The sequence below is a fragment of the Homo sapiens genome, chromosome X (genome assembly GCF_000001405.40).
Source record: "Homo sapiens chromosome X, GRCh38.p14 Primary Assembly".
Taxonomy (NCBI): domain Eukaryota; kingdom Metazoa; phylum Chordata; class Mammalia; order Primates; family Hominidae; genus Homo; species Homo sapiens.
The window spans coordinates 22,353,566-22,375,872 of record NC_000023.11 but is presented as its reverse complement, the minus strand read 5'-3'; the positions used below and the strand labels follow the sequence as shown (position 1 = coordinate 22,375,872).

The 22,307-nt window shown below is 39.6% G+C and overlaps 1 long non-coding RNA gene across 1 annotated transcript in view, besides 1 other annotated feature; it reads left to right on the top strand.

Annotated features, from left to right (window-relative positions):
- The window catches only part of PTCHD1-AS (PTCHD1 and PHEX antisense RNA), a 1,100,142-nt gene that overhangs the window by 917,274 nt on the left and 160,561 nt on the right, over positions 1-22,307 (top strand). The gene's annotated exons all lie outside the window — the stretch shown is intronic.
- Positions 9,650-10,849: an enhancer, noted in NCBI's record as "CDK7 strongly-dependent group 2 enhancer chrX:22383141-22384340 (GRCh37/hg19 assembly coordinates)". NCBI's record gives its function as "activates an origin of replication core promoter dependent on BRD2, BRD4, P300/CBP, MED14 and CDK7 cofactors, with strong dependence on CDK7, by STARR-seq in HCT116 cells {active_cell/tissue: HCT116}" and the evidence as "EXISTENCE:reporter gene assay evidence [ECO:0000049][PMID:35650434]".

Genomic DNA, 22,307 nt, shown 5'->3' with positions numbered 1-22,307 from the left:
CTGGGTGACAAAGTGAGACTCCGTCTCAAAAAGAAAAAAAGGCCAGGCACGGTGGTTCACGCCTGTAATCTCAACACTTTGGGAGGCCGAGGCAGGTGGATCACCTGAGGTCAGGAGCTTGCGACCAGCCTGGCCAGCATGGTGAAACTCTGTCTCTACTAAAAATACAAAAAATTAGCTGGGCGTGATGACGTGTGCCTGTGATCCCAGCTACCTGGGAGGCTGAGGCAGAAGAACCGCTTTGCTTGAACCCGGGAGGCTGAGGATGCAGTGAGCCGAGATCACACGATTGCACTCCAGCCTGGGCAACAAGAGTGAAACTCTCTCTCTCTCTCTTTCGTTCTCTCTCTCTCTCTCTCACACACACACACACACACACACACACACACACACACAAAGGCCTTCTGCTCTTAAATATAACTCTCTTTCCCAGTCGCATCCCCACACTATTTACTTAGGATGGAAACTCTCTTAAGGAGGGTAAGCCATTCATTCCTCAATTATAGAAAAGTTCAAAATTGGTAATTAAAATTATTTAAATGCCCATAAAAAGTTTCATGAACTGAAGAAGGCCAAGATGATCATCAAAGAGAGCGAGGGCACAAGCAAGACTACCAAGACCACCTATCACTAGCTATAGTTTTGTACATTTATTATTATTATTATTATTATTATTATTATTATTATTATTTTGAGACGGAGTCTTGCTCTGTCACCAAGCTGGAGTGCAGTGGCACAATCTTGGCTCACTGCAACCTCTGCCTCCAGGATTCAAGCGATTCTCCTGCCTTAACCTCCCGAGTAGCTGGGACCACAGGCGCGCGCCACCATGCCTGGCTAATTTTTGTATTTTTAGTAGAGATGGGGTTTCACCATGTTGGCCAAGATGGTCTCGATCTCTTGACCTCATGATCCACCACCTCGGCCTCCCAAAGTGCTGGGATTACAGGCATGAGCCACCACGCCCGGCTGAGTTGTGACTCAGAAAGTATAATACCAGCTAGGAGTCTATTGGGTTGCCTATATAATTGATTCAAGTACTCAGTTCTCTGGTTTATCAGTTAATATATTTTATGTTGTCTAGCAGTGGTACCTAAGCAGGGGTGCTTTGGCTTTGGAACTGTAGGAGGGAAATTGTTACTCGTCACAGTGATGCGAGGTGAGCATCACTGGTGTTTAGTGGGAAAGTTCTGGGAATTTTAAAGATACTAAAATGCATAGGATAGTCCCACACAATAAAGATTTCTTTTTTTGTTGGTTTTGTTTGTTTGTTTGTTTTTTCATGTACTTATTTTTTTTTATTATACTTTAAGTTCTGGGATACATGTGCAGAATGTGTAGGTTTGCTACATAGGTATACATGTGCCATGGTGGTTTGCTGCGCCCATCAACCCATCATCTACATTAGGTATTTCTCCTAATGTTGTCCCTCCCCTTTCCCCCAACCCCCTGACAGGCCCTGGTGTGTGACGTTCCCTTCCCTGTGCCCATATGCAGAAAACTGAAACTGGACCCCTTCCTTACACCTTACACAATAAAGATGTCTAATATCCCAAACGACCATCACAGCTTCATTGAGAATTTCTGAGAGAAATGAATGGATTCCATGTCCTTCAGACAATGCTTCTGCAGATACTGTTTCTCTCAGACAAGCTATTGACAAGAATTGCCTGGCATAGACTCATAAGTTTAGTCCTTGGCAAATTACTCACAACATTTCTTAGGCTAATAGCTCTGTTCATTGCAGGGCTTTACTTAAATAACAAATATCCTGTGGAAGGAAATTTATCCACAAAGAGACAAGACAATAAAATAGATTTGTTTCTCTCTCCTCCTACTGTAGCCACTGGCTAATGTCTGTGAAAAGCCATTATATTGTCTACCTGTTGTATATACATATTATGAATACATTTGTCTATATACACATAGTTGATACATTAGTAATAGTTCTTTCCTGTTCTTGAGTAAACATGGAACTGTTTTTTTCATATGTGGCCTTCCTTATTAGTTTGACACCCGAACCTGCCATGATGACTCTGGCCTTACCCTTCAACCCATCCAAAGTTTTGTTCATGAAATGACTCTTCATTTCAAATTCCTCCACAATAGGGCACACTCTTTTGTTTCTGTAATTTTATTACTGGATTTAAAAAATGGTATTTACTGCATTTTCAGCACATTTCTTCTGTCTTAAATATTGGACCCCTATCACAACAATAGGGTAATATTTTGAGAAATTAACCAATATGTTATTTAGAAACTCCTTTCTTGTTTACATAATTACCATTCCTCACTCACCCCCAATGAAAATATACCATGGCCACTTGAAGTCCAAGATGTTTGATAAACAAGAGTTAGGAATTTTGGAATCCAAAAGGCCAAACCTTGAAGGAACAAGACATAAAGTTTATGCCTTAATCAAAGGAGAATGGAGGAAAGGGCAGACCATTCATCACAGGTCCGGACAAGGGCTTCCCAAGCAGAGGGGGGGGAAATAAAGAGAAACATTACCCAGAAGAGAGGCTGTTGGGAGAAGAGATGAGAGGACTAAATGAAGTAACCACAAAGAGAGGAGCTGAGTCAGCACTCGAGAAACACCATGGTCTTTGCTCAAGTGAGAGCCAGCAATTGCCAGAACCAGGGAGGCATAAGGAAGCTAAGCCAGTTCCCAAAACTATCCAGCCAGGTGCTGGTGAGTCCCACACTTCATCCGTGCAGCAAGGAGCTATAATAATTAGCCTGCTTGTCACCAAGCAGCAAGGACCTCCTGTTAACAGCAGCCTCTACATCACTCATGGATGCCTAGCAAGAATGGCATGGTGCCTATATCCCAATAACTTTTTTGGACCCAACCACGGACAACTCTCCTGTCAAGAGCTTAGTTTAATTATCAGGCCCTTCCAGCAGAGATCAGAGCTTTGGACAACAAGGAGGAAAATGTTGATGTGGAAATGAGGGCCCACAAACCGTTTGTTTGCACAGAATTAAAACAAATCCAGCCTGAGATCTCTCCCTGTGTCAGGCCCTGCTTTACAATATCCTACAGCTTCTCTGCTATCATCTGTCCTCCACACAACATGTCTGGGTGCATATTACTTTAATGCTACTAAGTACAAGACCGGAATATTTCAACATGAAATAAAAACATTAAAACAGATAAAAATGAATTTGCTTTGTGAAGTAGGGCCAGGGCTTCAAAGCCCTGTCTGTTTGGCCTCCCTCTTACCACTGCCATCTCCATTGCCAACTCAGGTGACCCCATCATCCTTCTATGGAAACACAACTTGCAAGCTATTCTAGAATTCTCTTTTCTGGATTTGGTTTTGTCTCTTAACATACAAAGATGGTTTCTGAAAATAAACCTGCTCCCTGTGCATGCATCACAATCACCTGGAAAGCATTTCTTTATTTTTTTTTATTGGCCCTACTCTCAAGATTGTTACTTACAGGTCTGAGATAAGGCCCAGAAATCTTCCCAGGTAACACAGATGCACAGGCAGGTCTCCAGTCCCCTGAAATAAAGCTTACAGGGTGGTGCTGTTCAAACCCCTCATAGACTCTCAAACAGCACCAATACTTCACTGACCCTCTGTATGATACATTGCTTTATCTGATAGATTCCCAAGTGGCTCTTCAACCTTCTTGTTGTGATTTACTTGGATGCCAAGTTACACACTCTGTAAGGAGCAGACATGATTCCCAGTTATACCCCATCCGTGTTCTCAAAATGGCTCTACAATGTGTTTTTCATATCTTATTTTTCGTTTTACTCTGTAGGCAATGCATATATATTTTGTACTGAAATAAAAGGCTTTTACCTACATAAACCACTATAGAATTAGTATCCACTGATATTTTTGTTAGAGTGAAGATTAGCACAAGAAAGTATGGTAAATGAAATAATGCTGATGAGCTTTTCTGAAGCATCTTTTCAATATTTTTTTCAAAGACATTATAGTTTCAAGCAGGCTTTGGAGTAAATAAACCCATTAATCAGGCACTAAAATGCTGCTACAGCATTTTAAAACTATATCAATGAAAGTGTACTCTGGAAACGTTTTGCCAAAAATGTCCAACTTGATTGATTGTTTTGTATATATATATATATATATATATATATATCTTCCCATGGCGCTGCTGTGTTTCTGAATATAGCCAATACTTAATATTTATATAGCAGAAGAGGGAAAAATAGCACATAAACATCCAGTCTTTATATGAATGATCACACATAAACCAAACATACCACAATGAAAAGAAATACATTTAGGCTAGGCAACCCTCAACCACAATAGCAAAGCTAATGAATATTGTCTTTGGCCACTGCTTTTGGTTCTTGTCTCACCCCAGCAATATTTTTCTGCCCCATGGCTTAGAACTACCCCTCCCAACAAAGGCCATCTCCTGAGCTCAGTGTCTTCACCTCCAGAAGCTTTGTCTAACCACCTTATCTAAGATAGCAGTCTGCTGCCCCAGTACTATAGCACTGTCTATTCTGACACCCAGTTCTATTTTCTTCATAGGGGTTATCACCTTTTATGTATTGCTGATCTCTTCCACTGGAATGGGAAATGAACAAACAGGGCCCTGTCTGTCTAGTCCTCTTACTATGATCAGAACCAAAGATGGCACATTATAGGCACTCAAGAAATATGTGTTGAACTTAATAGAAGCAGCACAATGTGTTGAAAATAGATTTGCCAAGTATCTGGCTCTCCAAATGGCCAAATAGAAGTTGATTTCCTACTTGAGACTGTGATGAAAAAAATCCTAAAAATGGTAAAAGCAGAGTAAAACAGAAAATGACACTCCAGAAGATCCAAAGGAATTCTACATAAACTAAAAAAAATCCCACATGAACTTCTAAAATGTTGTAGAACTTCTAAAATGTTGTATAATAGAAAAATACATTTTCTGGTTACTAAATGTGTTTGTACAAATATTAAAGCACCCTACCAATCTTAGTTGTAACAAATTGAATATTCCTTAAAAATGCTGCTATAAAGACAGGATGAAAACTAGTCAAGTAAAACTTCACAGAAATCTTCTAAAGCTGTTAGAACCATCCCATTCAATATTAAATGCAGTGTGTCTGAGAGATAATGAGGAAGCAAGTTTTTGACAAATTGATGAATTTCATAAATGAGGCTAATAGGTCACTTGAAAAATGCTGTTATTCAACAAATCAGCTGTTCAGCCGATTGATTTTAGTGATTTAACTAGAACATGATATTAAACCTAGAAGTTTTTTCTTATTCCCACTTTATAGTGGATGAACCTGAAGTTTACTAGCTTGCCCAAGGATACCTAGGTAGTAAGTGCAGAGCCACCTTTCAGATTCAGGTATTTAAATTTAGAGTCTGAGCCTTTCATACTGCCCAAAAGACCTTCAGCCACCTAGGATTTAGTATCTAAGGCTCTGACACTGCTAGAATGCTTCTGCACATCCAGGATACTTAGTAACTTATAATTTGTATAAGACAGGAATTTGAATCAAGGCTGCCTAGCGAGCAAGGAAGGCAGGCTGAGGAAGTACCTGAACGCTTACAAGGCTATTATTTTGTTTTCAGGATTCCTCAGGCAATAACTCTTTTGAGGAATCTGAATTTTACGGAAGAAAGTACATGCTGTAGAAGAGTGGTATTGGCAAAAGTGGGATATGAGACAATCTCATCATGTATGTTCAGCATCTAGTGCAGGTCAACTTCAAGGTCCTCATAAGTAGGAATAGAATAGTCCTTACAGTGGTACCCTTGGGTATTCATGAATTCTCTATACTGGCTCATATTGGCCTTTATATTTTTCTGAGCAACCTGGTAAGTAGGACCACTTGCTAAGGTAAAGAAAGAGCAAGTGAGTGTTACATAGCTGAGATGAGATTAGACAAATGAGATGAGATTAATGTGAGACAAAGATCATTCCTCCACGTTTGTCACCTACTAGACATTTCTTTGCACCAACCAGCTTCTTTTTAAACATTCATATATCTCCTGGGATTCTCAGTCCTCATTGTATTAGTCTGTTCTCACATGGCTCTATGGCTCTAAAGAAATACCTGAGTCTGGGTAATTTATAAAGAAAAGAGGTTTAATTGGCTCACAGTTCTGCATGCTGTACAGGAAGCATGGCTGAGGAGGCATCGGGAAACTTACAAACATTGTGGAAAGCGAAGGAGAAGCAGGCATGTTTTACATGGTTGAAGAAGGAAGAGAGCGAAGTGGGAAGTGCTACACACTTTTAAACAACCAGGTCTCATGAGAACTCACTATCACCAGAACAGCAAGGGGGAAATCTGCCCCCATGATCCAATCACCTCTCACCAGGCCCATCCTCCAACATTGGGGATTACAATTTGACATGAGATTTGGGCAGGGACACAAATCCAAACCATATTACTCATATACGTTATTTTTATTTGTTTTCTAAAAAGGATGCTAACACAGTTCTCTCTTGTGTCATACATGTAAACTGAAGCCCAAAACTTTTAAATGATTTACTCAGGGTCACCTAGCTAGTTACTAGTAGTTTATGGATATGAAACGGTCTTCATTTTCCAAGTCCACAGTTCTCTTCTTTATACTGTCAGTGGTTCTTAAGCATTTATTAACAATGAAACCATTTTCCCCTGAATCCAATCTTATGTAACCTCAATATATATAACTAATGAAAGCTGCATTATTTCTGGAAATTTTTGAAATTGGTGGCTATGGATGTCAACACATCAGTTTCAACATCCAATTTTTCTTCATTTTTTATTACACAGTAATGAGAAAATCCTTATTCACTCAGAAAAGTAATTCCAAGTGGTAACATATTTTAAGACCTCTCCTCGCAACCCCAGAATGCTCCTGAATCAAATTCTGCTCTTGAATCAAACTCTGGAAGAGGCTTTGGGAAATGCTACTTGGGACATAGTCTGGAAACTGCTGCAATCAAGCCGTGTTCCTTTTTTCTATCTTCTACACATTCCTGCCAACTGCTTTATTCAGTTCAATACCGAAGTCATCATCAGCAAATTGAACATTGACTGAAGATGGTGGGAAAAAAAAAGAGGAGGTGGTTGGAGGACGGAAAGAAGGAAAGAGAAGAGCAAAAATAAGACCAGTTTTGGCTCTAGTGCAATTCATTTAAAATTGATTCAGCAAATGAGCAGTTTGCCAATTAGCTAAACTTATTGGTTTATTTAAAAATGTATTTCTAAGAGGACTGTATAGCTCAGGCCATTTTATATTGAATGTGATGATTTTAACAGCCTTTTGAAGACTTTTAAATTTTAGTTGAGTGGTTTTCATTTTGCCTTTAAAACAGCATTTTAAGCAAAGTATAATTGACTTTGCTCCATCAAGGGCAGGAGAGAGATGTCAAGCCTGCAAAAAGCACCCCTGGGCTGCCCACCTCAGAGAGGAGGCTGCTAAAGGGCAAAGAGTGAGGAGACTAAGGGACAAAAGAAGGGGATCGAGAAAGGATGAGGGGCAGAAAGCATGTCACTTTAGAATGAGTGACAGAGTGAGGAAAGGGCAAAAGTCAGAGAAAGGGAAAACTGGAGGGCGGGGGACCCAAAGGCCCCAGAACCAGGAAAGTTGTGGCTGTTCATAACCCTCCGTGTTTAAATGGATGGAAACCATAAGAAATCAGATAATGAAAATGCATAAATTTGCTGAATATGAGACATGCATTCCTAAAATATTTACAGAAAAATAAAGATATTGTCAAATGCCAAAATACAGACGGTAAATATGACAAGTAAGTGTGGAAATTAGGCATGAAATGTGAAAGCAACTTTTCTACAATTCAGGCTAGAGGCAAACATCGGATTAAAACTCAGATCCTCTGATTCTTAGACTACTGCCTTTTCTATTGTTTTATGTGCTTTTTAAGGTGAATAATGCCTGTCTGGACATTTACCTTTTTTGCTTTTAGACATTTCTCCCAAAGACAATACAAAGCAAAAGAAAACAGAATTACATTATCCAAGTTAATAAAGTGTGCTTTCAAATTACTAAATAAATAAATAGGCTAGAGCTTAAATTATCCTAGAAGAAGTTGCCCTTACAAAAATGAAGCCTTTCTAACACATTAATTTAGTCATCAGGTTTTGTAACACATTTGTTTAAACATGCCTCATTTTTAGAGGTTTTAGAGGTGTTTATGCTTTTTCTCATTCTTTGAAGAGTTTCCACAAATGAGACATGCAGCCATTTTATAAAAATGATAAATTGGCCTGTTAGAAGTAGCCCAGAATCCTATTCCTCATGTCTATTTCTCCTCTCACACTGTATCACTTCCTGGAAGTATTAATAGTTGTATTTCATTTTCCTATATAAATATTTAAGGACTGTAATTCTGCCCAGTTGACATTGGCAGTGCCTGTGCACGGAGATGTTTCATTATCTGCTCCTCATATCAACATAATCTTGTCAAACTTTGTTTCCAATAAATAGGGCAGGCTGTATTTGGAATATTTTAATAACCAAGCACAGTCATATTGCTTTCAATCATGGCCTGCTTACAAATCCCCAGCTAAGAGGTGCAGTTACATGGAACAATAACCCATGAGCAGTGTGCCAATATATTTTCATTAGTCAATGACACCCAGCTGCAGAGAGAAATTAGGTTGTGTCCTTTAAAACCCATCGTTCCCTTGTGGCAGAACCACAGCGGGCCAGATTGGCTTCACCAAACCCTCCTGCCATTGTTCATTGAATGCTCCAGCTGGGTTGTATTCATCATAAACCCTAAGTCTGCAATTTTTCAATTCCATATTAGGCTTGGATTCAAAGCCTATTGTTCTGATGTTACAGGGAAGGCACACGAGGAAAATGTCATTGAATCACTCTTGTTTAAAGCCCTTCTTCTCACCCTATTATTCTGGGTCGTTTGGAGAAATAATTTATCTATGGAAACTTTGGAAACAATGATTAATTTGGCATTACTTTGGATTTTTCCCTGGTCTTTTAAATTTTTAACAACACTCCAAGAGGGAAGTCATTTTTCAGATGTTCTAGATCAAAGTAACCCAAATGGGGACACTTGGAAGAAAACAAACACTTCAAATAGAAGCAACTTCTTCTTAACTTATATTTTTGTCTGTCTTACCACCAGTTTATTTTTCACTCTTTCCTCAATCATCTTAAAAGCTAAGATCTTGAAACCATTTTTTTTTTTCATAATAGATGAAATGCCATTTGGATTGTAAGTCACCAGCCCTCCATCTCCCCCTTCTCTTTTTCACCTGTCAACACTAGATTTAGGCCTTTTTCCCACCCCTACTCCACCCTACATTTTTCACATAAATGAAAGGAGGTAGTGCTGGTTAAATGGCCCATGCTGGAAGTGCATCTCTCCAGCACTGCCAGGTGTGATGGAAACCCCAGCCAGATGGGCATTCCAGTTTGTGAGGAGGAGGCTATTCTTAGGTACAGTTTCTACTGACACCATAAAGGCTGCAAAACCAGCCACAAATAACTCCCCAGACTTTTTGAGGATTTCTCTAGGCTGATGATGTCAGTACTTGTGGATTTGGAGCTTCTATAGTGGTGTTTCTCAACCCTGGCTGCACATTAGAACATCTGATTAAAAAAAAAAAAATACTCATGCTTGGGCCTCTCCCCCAGAGATTCTGATCTAGTTGTTCTGGGGTAAAACTTAAACATATATATATATACACATTTTTTTTTTTTTAACGGAGTCTCACTCTATTGCTAGGCTAGAGTGCAGTGGCGCAATCTTGGCTCACTGCAAGCTCTGCCTCCCGGGTTTACGCCATTCTCCCGCCTCATCCTCCCAAATAGCTGGGACTACAGGCGCCCGCCACCACGCCCGGCTGAGTTTTTTGTATTTTTAGTAGAGACGGGGTTTCACCATGTTGGCCAGGATGGTCTCGATCTCTTGACCTCATGATCTGCCCACCTCGGCTTCCCAAGGTGCTGGGATTACAGGCGTGAGCCACCGCGCCCGGCCAAACATGAGTATTTTTTTTTTCAAACTTCCTCACATGACTCCAGCACATAGCCAGGGCTGAGAAACACTGATCTGAGGCATTTGTGAAAACCATGACTAAACACAGCGAAGTCCTGTTCCCTTAATTTGCTTACTATTTTTAGATAATACTTTGACCAATGGTACGTGACTCTTGGAGGTCTCAGCAAAAAGAGATGAGAAACTGAGCTGCATACCTGGACAGGGTTCATATTGCACTGATGTTTCGTCATTGAGGTGCCTTTCCAACTTGGGTCATCCTGTGTGGATCAAATCCAAATATCTACAATGACTGGGAAAGTGAGTCAATGTGGGAGAAGTGCAGGGCACAAAAAGCAGCACAGAATGGTGAGTCATGAACCAGAGAGTGAACTTCCAGTCCAAAAGGGGGGCCACTGCTACTCAGACCCAGCCAGTTTTTGCCCTAAAAGAATGCCAACCCCATGTGGCCAAAGATCTTGAGTTTTTAAAGAAACTAAAAATCTAAATTTTTGTGTGAAATCTCCCAATTTTATAGCATTGGTTCACATTAAAAACTACTTGATGGGATAAACAAAGCATGTTGACATTGGCCTCAGGTCCTGGTCAGAAGGTAGCTAGTTTAGAACTTCTATAAGACAAAACATCAATGGGATGCATCATGATCTATCTTGGCTGGACACTCTGAGAAGGCAACAAAGGAGTCTTTCAGGGGAACCAAGCCACTAGGAGGGGGTCTAGGGAGAATGAAGCCAGCCCAGGAACACTGACTAGCCACTGGGCTTTCTTTAGGCTGAGCAAAAAACTCCAAAACAAAGAAACTAATATTCTATCTGAATGTTAAATCATTAATAGAAGCATAAAATGTTAGAGCTAAAAGAAAACCAAAAGAAATCGTTCAGTTCAATCTAGTTATTTTTAAAAGAATGAAAACCAAAAAAGTAAAGAAATTGAAGCTTCCAGAGGTAATGTGAACTTGCTCATGATGCAGCGAACAGATGCCAGGATTCTGAACTCCTCGTCCAATGTCTGTGTTGACATCATAGTGAAACCAGCCTTGACTCTGTAACTCAGGACACTTCTATACTCAAATGGCAAAAGTCATGGTTTAGATAATAAGAACAATGATAGGTAAGCTGAAGATGTCATATAATTTATATGGTGAAGGTTAAATGTCGATAATATTTTAAAATATTAGAGAAAATACTTTCAGACTGGGCTTGTGCTGCACATTGAGGAAAGAACCTCTTTGGCCTATAAAAAATATCAAATTCCTGCTATGAACTACACACTAGGCAAAGGGCTGTGGGTGAAAACAGAAATGGGTTCACTAGTTTACAGTCAAATGAAACAAAACCTATTCAGATCTTGTCACTCTCTGCTTAAAATGTTTCGATGGCTTCCCCAGTCTTTAGAACAAAAGCCAAGTAAATAAACATTTACCAAAAGAAGGTAGGCAAAAACAAAATAGACAGAGAGATGTTGGAGAGAAGACATTACAATTGTGATTACAGGTGTTCCTCACTTAATGGAAGAGATGGCCCCCTGAAATATATACTTTTCAAGCAAACTGTGTATTATGTTGACCCATACAAAGTTGCCAATATTTGACCACTTTTTAATACAAAAACAGCAGTTTAACAGGATTCAATCTAATACATATAATCTTAATGCAGATTATTGTCATGTATTCCCCTCTGGAGAATTCTACACTGTTAACCGCTTCTCCTCCTTCCTGAAATGGTCTTGATTGCTTCCAGGATGCCTTGCTTTTCTGACTTTGCCCCCTCATTTATTGGACATAGTTCTTCTACCTCCTTTGCTGGGCCTTTCTTCTCTACCAAAACTCTAAATGTTGAATTCTTGAGGCCTGTGTTCTGCTTCTCTTTTCCAAGCACTTGCCTATAGCTATTTTAAAAATGTTTATTTGCGGACAGTGCCCAAATTTACATCTCTAACCGGAATCTCCTTTCTAACCTCCAACCTGATGCATCTAATTGATAACTTGATATTTCCACTTGGCTATCTTCTCCTAGGTATCCCAACTGCATCATGCTCAAACTCAAGCCCTGGTCTTTTCTCAAATCTGCTCCCCCTTCCGTCCTCATTTCAAGAAATGCTACTTCTAGCTACCAAATTTTTCAAGCTAGAAAACTAGAAGTCATCCTCAATACCTTCCATCCTCTGACCAAGTTCTGATGGTTCTCTGTACAGGATACTTCTGAAATATATCTACTTCCTTCCTTTGTTAATGTTTCCACCACAGACTAAGACCCATCTGGCTGGAATACTGTAATATCTCCCTAATAGCACCCCTCCCATGCTTCTGACTTATTCTTCACATTACAGCTACATTGATTGTTTTATTCTTCTATTTACTTATTTAGTCCTCAAATGTGTTGAGGGCCTACTATGTACCAGACAGTGTGGCATCTATTGGAGATTAAATATTGGACATAAAGCCCTGATGAAGCTTAGGTGAAGCAAATACCAGATCATGACACTTTTCTTCTTGGAACCTTTTAGTGGCTTCTCATTCCACTTTGAAAAGAATCCAAACTCATTAACATTACCAAAAGGTCATATATGACATGGCCCCTGGCCACCTCTCCACCCTCGTCTCTTACTCTATCCTTCTCAGTCTCTACACTCCAGTCATGCTGACTCTCTGTTAGTTCATCAAATAAGCCAACATCTGTCCTGCATTTAGGTATTTCTTCATGATAATCTCTCTACCCAGAAAGTTCTTCTCCACCACTCACCTCATCATCCTCATCTCTCCTCTACTACCCCCTTTAAATAACACGACTTAAAGTCACTCATTTTTGTGAGAATGAAGTATTAGAAATGAGACTTGAAACCCTGGACCTGAAGTCAAGCACCTTAGGTTCATGTCCTAGGTCTGTGGGAGGTTGGTCATCAGTTGTCTCTTTGATAAGGGTGAACTGCATGCCCTACCAGGACTGAACATTAAGATTATCTATTCCAAACTTCTGTCTTAGTGATGAGAACATTGAGACCCAGAATTGTTAAACTAGTTTGCCATAGCACAATAAATAGCTTATAGGCCGAGCACGGTGGCTCACGCCTATAATTCTAGCACTTTGGGAGGCCGAGGTGGGTGGATCACGAGGTCAAGAGATAGAGACCATCCCGGCCAACATGGTGAAACGCTGTCTCTACTAAAAATACAAAAATTAGCTGGGCGTGGTTGCCTGCGCCTCTAATCCCAGCTACTCGGGAGGCTGAGGCAGGAGAATCACTGGAACCCGGGAGGCGGAGGTTGCAGTGAGCAGAGATCGCGTCACTGCATTCCAGCCGGGCGACAGAGTGAGACTCCGTCTCAAATAAATAAATAGATAGCTTATAGCTCTTCGGTTGGGCAAACTCTTTTTCTAACACTATGTGGAAGCTGTTGGCCTCTGGATTTGAACAAGTTGTTTTGTACTGAAGAGAAAAAGACAGGCATATTTAGCTACGATAGAAATCCAAAATGCGTACATTAGTAGGCGGGCAGAAAATAACAGTAAATGAAGACCTGAGTACAGGAAAACATGTTTTGTAAGGATATGAACATTCTGTATAGCAGATGGACAGATACCATTTATAAAATCATTCCCCTGGTCTATAAATCCTGATCCTTCTAATGTCATAGCATCTTCTTTAGTAAAGTGGTTTAATGACCAATAGAAGGAACAAAACTGCCATCTCTGTAGGAGACAGTAAAGCAGATGACCTGACATGAATACCTCAAACCAAGGAATTTGTCTAATTCATATCAAGCTATTATACTGAATTAAGAAAGGAAAACACGTTAGGAAAAGAAACAGCTAGCTGAGATTGGTGGCTAAGATTTCTTCTAAATGAACCACTTCCCAAGAGACCTAAAAAATTAACGTTTGCAAGTCTGGGGATAGGGGATAATATGAAAAGTGCCTCAGTGAGCATGTTCACTTAATTTCTGGGACCAGAGTCTGAGTATTTCCCAAATGTCTCAAAAGAAGTAGTAACAAAGAAAGCCAAATATTTATTTTATTAACACACCCTGTGTGGTATCTTCCCCATAAATAGATACAGAGCTAGTTCAGTGAAAACAATTAAAAGCCATGAAGGTTTTTTTCTATATTGTTTATAAAGAAAAATAGGAAATATTTATATGTCCAACAATAGGAAAATTGAAATTATGGTATATCAACAATTGCCATTTTAATAATTTTCTTCTCTCCAGTTTTCATGCTTTAAAAATTTTATATGCTATATTACTTCTATAATGCTATTTACTTTTTTACAATGCTGCATTTCTTTTATATTGCTGAGTTACTTGTTTCTTTAAGTCGTGTCTTTATAGGGAAGTTTTGGTTCTGGTTGATATTTTAGATAGATCTTTAAAGCTATATTCTCACAATTGGAGACCACATGGATTATGACTGTGGGTACTGTCACCAAGTCAAAATGATGTGAGACCATTCTTGAAGGAAATTGACCAGTATCCTTTGAAGATTTGGTGGATCTCAAAAATTGCTGAGCTCTTACCCAGGACTTTGATAAGTGCTGCTTCTAATGTCAGAAGGAAAAGGTTTAAATATTTGTTGCATCCTGCCAAGAAGAAGAAGAAGTAGAGAATATGAGCAGATTTCAACTCAGAGGTTTCCAAAAAAAAGATTTTTAGGTCTAGCAGGTGCATCGAAAAATGAGTTGCTACCGATACACGAACAGCTGTATCGCTATGGATGCACCTTAAGAATGCATGCGATTTCCAGGCAAGATAAGTTAGGGACAGGTATTCTAGGGAGGGGATCAACATATTTAAAGGCACAGAGATGTGAAAACGCATGGTATTTAGCCCTGCTAGAGTGTAAAGGGCAAATGAAACACGAGAGATGAGGCATAAAAGAGGAGAAGGAGCCAATCATGGAAGACCTTTTGTGCCATGTTGAGGAGCTGGAAGTGAAGTGCCACCCACGATTTTTAGTCATGGGAGCGACATGATCAGATGTACTGCTTGGAAGTATGTCGGTGTAGAGGAGGGGGATAAAACCAGAGGCCAAGAGACCAGGTAAAGATTATTCAAATAGTCCTTTAAAGAAATGTTAAAGATTATTGTAGGTTGAATATATCTTCACATTCTGAATGTACATAAAGATTCTGAAAAAAATTATTTAGGGAGCAAAGCCTTGTGAGTAATAAAAGCAAAGGCAAATACGTATTTATATTTCCACCAACAAGGATCAGGAATTGAAGAGCAATGACCATGGAAATAAAAATGTTTGTTAGAATTTGTAAACATGTGATACTTTCCTATGTTTGGCCATTTAAATCTGTGGTGGTTGTCCCTGAGTTCTTTGATCCTCCTTTAAAAAGACGGAGCCTAATTCCCCTCCCGACAAATTTTACCAGTCTTGGTAATTCTCTTCTAACAAATAAAATGCAGCAGAAGTGACAATTTCCAAGGCTAGAACATAAAAGGCAATGCAGCTTCTAACTCACTCTCTTTCTTGGGATGCGCTCTCTTGGAACCCAGCCACAAGGCTGAGAGGAAGCCCAGGCTAAATAGAGAGACCACTTGTTCCAGGCATGTGTTCTAACCATAGCCCAGCTGAGGTTTCAACAGACATCCAGCGTCAACCTGAAGCATGTGAGTGAAGAAACCTTTGAGATGACTCCAACCCCAGTCACTACAACTGTGTGAAAAACTGCCCAGCTCAACTCAGCCAACCCCTTAGAACCGCAAAAGATAACAATAAATAATATAAAATAAAATGTAATCATAAAGTGATTGTTTTTTGAAGCCATAAAGTTTTGGATTGATTTTTTATATGGCAAAGATAACCAGGATATATCCCCTATCTGTTTCCTTTTAAAATAACGAGGGCCTATCTACTTGTTTTTAGAAACAGGACAGAATGTAGGGAATGAGGCAGTACCAACCTCACCCTTAAGGAAAAAAGAACTCTAAGAAATAGAATTGCGGTGGAGGCTTCCAAGAAAGCTTAACACTAGAAATGCTAAGACCCTAGCGATAGATATAAATAACATCCTTAGCAATTTTCAGACAACATAAACTAGAAATAACTAACTCCTTAATGGTTAGCTTAGAATTCAGTAGCACTATGATATTGGTTTAACAGAACAGATAATATTGTGGAAAAATACTCCCAGTACAGAATACCTAAAAAGGTTGGAATGTACATAAAAATGCAACAGATAGAAAGACGGACAGATAGATGAGTTAGCAAGAAAATGGAAGAAGTCCTCAGTGGCCAAAAGGAAACAAAAGCGTAAGTCCAGGGAGATAACAAAATGCTACTGCTCAGCTGCAGCTGAGGTTATCTGCAGATCCTTGGCTGCCCTAGAGTTTTGTTTTGGGTTTTAAAGGGACAATGATTGGGCCTAAGCAAAGAGAAAAGGTGGAGAGATTTCTTTTCTTTCTTTCTTTTTTTTTTTTTATTTTAAGTTCTAGGATACATGTGTACAACGTGCAGGTTTTACATATGTATACATGCGCCGTGTTGGTGTGCTGCACCCATTAACTCGTCATTTACATTAGGTGTATCGAGGAGATTTCTTTATAGTGCCTAGTCTTTTAGAAGCTGTACTCACTCACTGTGAAAAGGGGGGAAAACCTCAATTCACAGAGAGTTATGATAAGGACATTTGGCTTTCTCAGTCTTTCGTCTTGGTTCGTAGAAGTGGCAGGGTCTCTCCTGAAAATGTCTAGCTGCAAGCTTGTAGTCATGCAAAATTAGATCTAGAAATCACAAAACTTCTGAGAATTGAAAAAAAAATCATAGAGATTAACTTTAAGAGGTCTAGAAATCTCACAGAAGTAAACACAATTGCTTTCTGGAGGAAAGCACATTAAATCCAGGTTTCAAAGGATTCTCACAGACACATTTTCTGCAAATACTACTCACCAAAAGAGAAAGAGAAGGGAGAAAATCACAAAACACACAATGAATAGGCCACTTAATTTGCACCACTTCATATCTTCTCAGCTGTACCCGATTCTTGTACAAGCTACTAGTATGGTGACCAGCTCTACATAGATTTCAAGAAATTTGAAGTCTGTGCTCCTGATAGTAGGAGCAACTTGATAGCACCTTACTTCATACCCGAGCACTACACCTCTTGTCTCCCTCCTGAGCTTCCCTGGTAACATCACTCAGTGACCCCATTGGACACAACCTAGTCGTGTGAGAGAGAGAACACCTTGCGGGTTAAACTGAGACCAATGGGAAGCGGAAACCAGGTGATAAATCGGTCTCCTTTATTCCCACCAATGGCATTCTTGAGAGGCAGTTAATTTGGTTCATGGGAAACAGTCCCTCAGGACAAACACACTGAGAGTATGCAAGCAATGGACCTTCAGTAAAGAAATTCTAAAGGACACACTTCATGAAGAAGGAAGATGATTACAGAAGGCATGTCTGAGATGCAAGAAAGAATGGCGAGTCAAGACTAGGTAAACTATGGGTAAATGTAGACAAACACTATATAAACCCAAACTGGTTTCTAATTTGTGACATTAGAAAAGAGGATGTCATTAAAATAGTGGGTAACAATAGGATAGTCAGGATTGGGTAAGGAAAGTTAAAGCTTTCTAAAGTACTCATATTGGCTGGGCGCAGTGGCTCATGCCTGTAATCTCAGCACTTTGGGAGGCCGAGGTGAGTGGATCACTTGAGGTCAGGAGTTCGAGACCAGCCTGGCCAAGGTGGTGAAACTCCTTCTCTACCAAAAATACAAAAATTAGCCGGGCATGGTGGTGCTCGCCTATCCAGCTTCTTGGGAGGCTGAGAAACGAGAATTGCTTGAACCCAGGAGGCGGAGGTTGCAGTGAGTCAAGGAGGTCACGCCACTGCACTCCAGCCTGGGCAACAGAGAAAGACTATCTCAAAAAATAAATAAATAAAATAAATAAAGTACTCATATTCTTCAGGAACAAGATGACTGTTGCTGAACTTTAGGCTTCATAAAGCTGAATACAGACCTGTAACCAGTGTACAGTTGGTCTCTTCCCATCTTGTTTTTAATTGAGATACAAATAAAGGGATATCAGATAACAAAGTGAGTACAAGATTGAGTCTCTGGCTGAATGTTTAAGAACCATTCTCATGACTCATCTAGCCCCAGCCAGATCAAGGATATAAAGAGAAGTCAAAATGGAGAAATGCGACCAGATTCAGTGAAGATATTTCATATGAAAAAGCTGTTGGATGATGAGGTGGTGCTACCTTCCTACTTTAAGTGTAATCAGAGGAACTTCCATGGTTTCACCCAAAGCGCTTAAATAGACTTTCTGTAACTGGAAGACACAGAAGATTTGTGAGTTTCTCATGCCTGAAAAAGTTAAAGCAACCTGTCATGGAAATGGCCACCTAGAGATTCCAGCTACAAGAAGCTGGCAGAAAGTGCTGGGCTCCTAAGTGGCACGAAAGACAAAGAAACCTGACAGCAAACACCACACTGTGAAAGTTAAAAGAATACCCTTTGAGAGTGGGAACAAGAATGCTCACTGTCACCATTTCAATTTAATATTGTCCTGGATGTCCTAGTCAGACAATTAGACAAGAAAAATAAAAGATATCATAACTCAAAAGGAAGAAATAAACCTGATAGATACTTTGATTGTCTGTATAGAAAAACTAAAATCATCTACAAGCAAATAATTTGCCTTAATAAGAGATTTTGGCAAGATTATAGCCACACTACAATATACTAGTAATGAACAACACATGTAGATTTTCAAGACACCATTTAAAATAGCAACAAAAGAATATGAGGAACATAGGAATAAATCAAACAGAAGTTATGTATTAGTCTGTTTTCACGCTGCTGATAAAGACATACCCGAGACTGTGCAACTTACTAAAGAAAGAGGTTTAATGGACTTACAGTTCCACATGGCTGGGGAGGCCTCATGATGATGGCAGAAGGTGAAAGGCATGTCTCACATGGCAGCAGACAAGAGAGCTTGTGCAGGGAAACTCCCGTTTTTAAAACCATGAGATCAGGTCTCATGAGACTCATTCACTATCACGAGAATGATAGCACGGGAAAGGCCCACCCCCATAATTCAATTTCCTCCCACCAGGTTCCTCCCACAACACATGGTAATTGTGGGAGTTACAATTCAAGATGAGATTTGGATGGGGACACAGCCCAAACATATCAAGTTGCATTAGATCCTAATAGAGAAAATTATAAAATAAAACTATCTGAAGACATTAACAAAGAGCTAAATAAATGGAGAAGTATATTGATGGATAAGAAGAATATGACTTCATGAGGCTGTCTTTCCTCACCAAATTCATCTGTAGATTCAATGCAATTTTAGTAAAAAAATCTAACAAATTTTTAAGATGTTTAACAAGCTGATTCTAACGTTTATATCAAAGAATAACAGACCAAGAATAGTCAAGACACTTCTGAAGAAAAACAAGATACAGGAACTCATATGAGTTATCAAAACTCTTTACAAATTTTAGCAATGAAAATATTATAGTTTTGGCATAGGGATAGCCCAATTGACCCTAGTAACAGAACAGAGAGCCTAAAAACAGACTCACAACTAACTGGAAACTTGGAACATGACCAAAGGGTCACTAAAAATTAGGAGAAAGGTTGGAGGCTTTCAGCAAATATGCTGAAACAACTGGTTATCCATACAGAAGAAAATAAAATTGGATTCCTTCCTTGATGTAAAAATCGACTCCACATAATGTAGGATTTAAATATGAGAGGTAATACCTTAAAATATGTTTTTAAATATGAGAGGTAATACGTTAAAATATTTTTTTAAATATGAGAGATTATCTTTAGGTCGTTTGGGTAAGAAAAGACTCATTAAACAAGATCAAAAGTTACCAAAGTTGTCTGAAAATAAAAATATAAAGAAAACAAAGGAAATGCCTCTCCCCACACCCCTTCGGAACATCATACCTTAAGAGGAATAATAAAGTGATTCATGACCAGATAAGAATAACCAGCATGGCGAAGGGTCTGGATATCTTGGGGTTTTACTTTTTTTTTTTTTCTTTTTGAGACGGAGTCTCACTCTCTCGCCCGGGTTGGATTGTAGTGGCGTGATCTCAGCTCACTGCAACCTCTGCCCTCCAACTTCAAGTGATTCTCCTGCCTCGGCCTCCTGAGTAGCTGGGATTACAGGCGCCTGCTGCCGCGCCCGGCTAATTTTTTGTATTTTTTTTAGTAGATATGGGGTTTTACCATCTTCGCCAGGCTGGTCTCGAACTCCTGACCTCGTGATCCACCCGCCTCGGCCTCCAAAAGTGCTGGGATTATAGGCGTGAGCCCCTGCACCCGGCCGGGATTTTAAATTTTTTAAAAGGTGAAAAAGATGATTTACAGGGCACATGATAATTGCCTTCAAATATTTGAAATACAAAAAAGTTCAGAAGGATTAAAGTGTTTGGGGGAATGAGAATTTCTAACCACACACTTCCAGTTTCCTGTCTTCTTCCAGTATGGAAGGAACTCTTTGGGTTTCTCTCTTCAACATCCATACCCAGTGCCTTCCTCCAGCGCTGCATCCCCTGCAATAGAAGAGATGAGGATGAGGAGACTTGGGCTTGTGTAGACCTGACTTTGCTGGCTCTTTCTTTTAGAGCTTGTGAGGAGTTCTGTCTACCATGGTAGGACATGATAGATAAACTCATAGAGATGATGGCTCTGCCCTGTAACAGAGTCCGGTTCAGAAGGAAGTAGTTGAAGTCAGATGATGGTTTCAGGTGGAAGCCCCAGCTTTATCCACAGTAACATTGATCTTGCCGTGATATCTAAGCTCTATGGGTATTTCCAGTTGGTTCAGAACCAAAGGGGAAAATGGTATGAATAATTATCCACATGATTACAGTCCTCAAAACCTACATCAGACTTTTGAGTTATACATCTTTCCTCGGTCTGAGAAGGATTTTAAAGAACCTGCTTCTTTTTGTCATTTGTATTTTATTTTAAGTTCCAGGATACATGTGCAGGATGTGCAGGTTAAACAAACTGCTTCTTAGAAATGCTTCTCCAAGGCAGAACTGAGATGAATAGGTGGAACTTATAAGCAGAAATATTTCACTTTGAACTTTTTAATATCTAAGAACTTTCTAACAATTGGTTGGTGCAAGTGTAATGCAATAAGTTTCCCAGGAAATTTCAGTAGAGGCCGCCAACCCACAGAAACAGAAGAGGGTATTCCTGTGGTATCTGTGGCCTCCAATGTCCCTTCTGACTATAAGATTCAATGAAATAAAACAGATGGAAACTTAAAATGTAACTTTGCCATTTTAAGGCCTCAAAGAAAAGGGCAATGCTGATGGTTTTTGACCAATATTCTTGTGTTCCAAAGTAACGTTTTTCAAATTTTTTATGCTATTTTTTATATTATTTGCCTTCAAAATCCCATGGGAAACTCTTTCTGACATAAACTTTGAAGTGTGACAACCACAAAGGCAAGACTATTCCTCACACAGAGAAGAATATTCTTACCTGGCAAACTGATCATCATTTGAAAAGGTTCTGGAGACTGACTCCGATTCCTCCAGATAGAGCAGAAAACATTCTGTATGTATAACTCACTTTCTCTCTTTCCCCCAAACTCCTATTTTTGCTTTGTTTTTCTGACAATGCTGTCTGCTGTTTTTCTTTTTTTGAAAATTGCTCCTTAATAAGAGAGTAGGTTGAAGTTAGTGAGTCCCAAACTTGTCTGAATATTGGAATCACATAGAGAGGTTGTGAAACTCTCAGTGATCAGCTCTTACCTCAAACCAATCAAATTAGAATCCCCGAGGGTGGGAATCAGACATGAGTATTTTTTAACATCTCCAGAGGATTATCCTGTTCAGACAACTATTAGCAAACATCCACAGTGCCTAAACTGGACCATGCATCGGAATCACCTGGAGCGCTTGATAAAAACAGCTTACTGGGCTCTACTCTCAGAGTTTCTGATTCAGCAGGTCTGCGGTGCGGTTGAGAATTTGCATTTTTAACAAAAATTCCCAAGTGATAGTAATCACTGTGCCCTCACCCCGCCCCCTGCCCCCGAACAAATTGTGAAAAACAAATACGCAAATGTGCGTATGTTAGCCCATTTGGTTCTCAAAGAGGGAGGCTTTAGGATTTAAAACACACAAGAACAAAAACCAAGCAGCTTGATGATGTTTCCATTCTTAGGTGCCCCCCCGCCCCGCGCACACACACCAAATCAATTAAGAAATGGTTCCTTCCTTCTACTTTGTTTTAGGCCTACTTTTAAATAGGGTCGGTGCTTTTTAAGATCCCCCAGACAGTCTGAGCCTCAGAGCTCACTTTCAAGACCTTTAAAATATTATTGTAGCCAA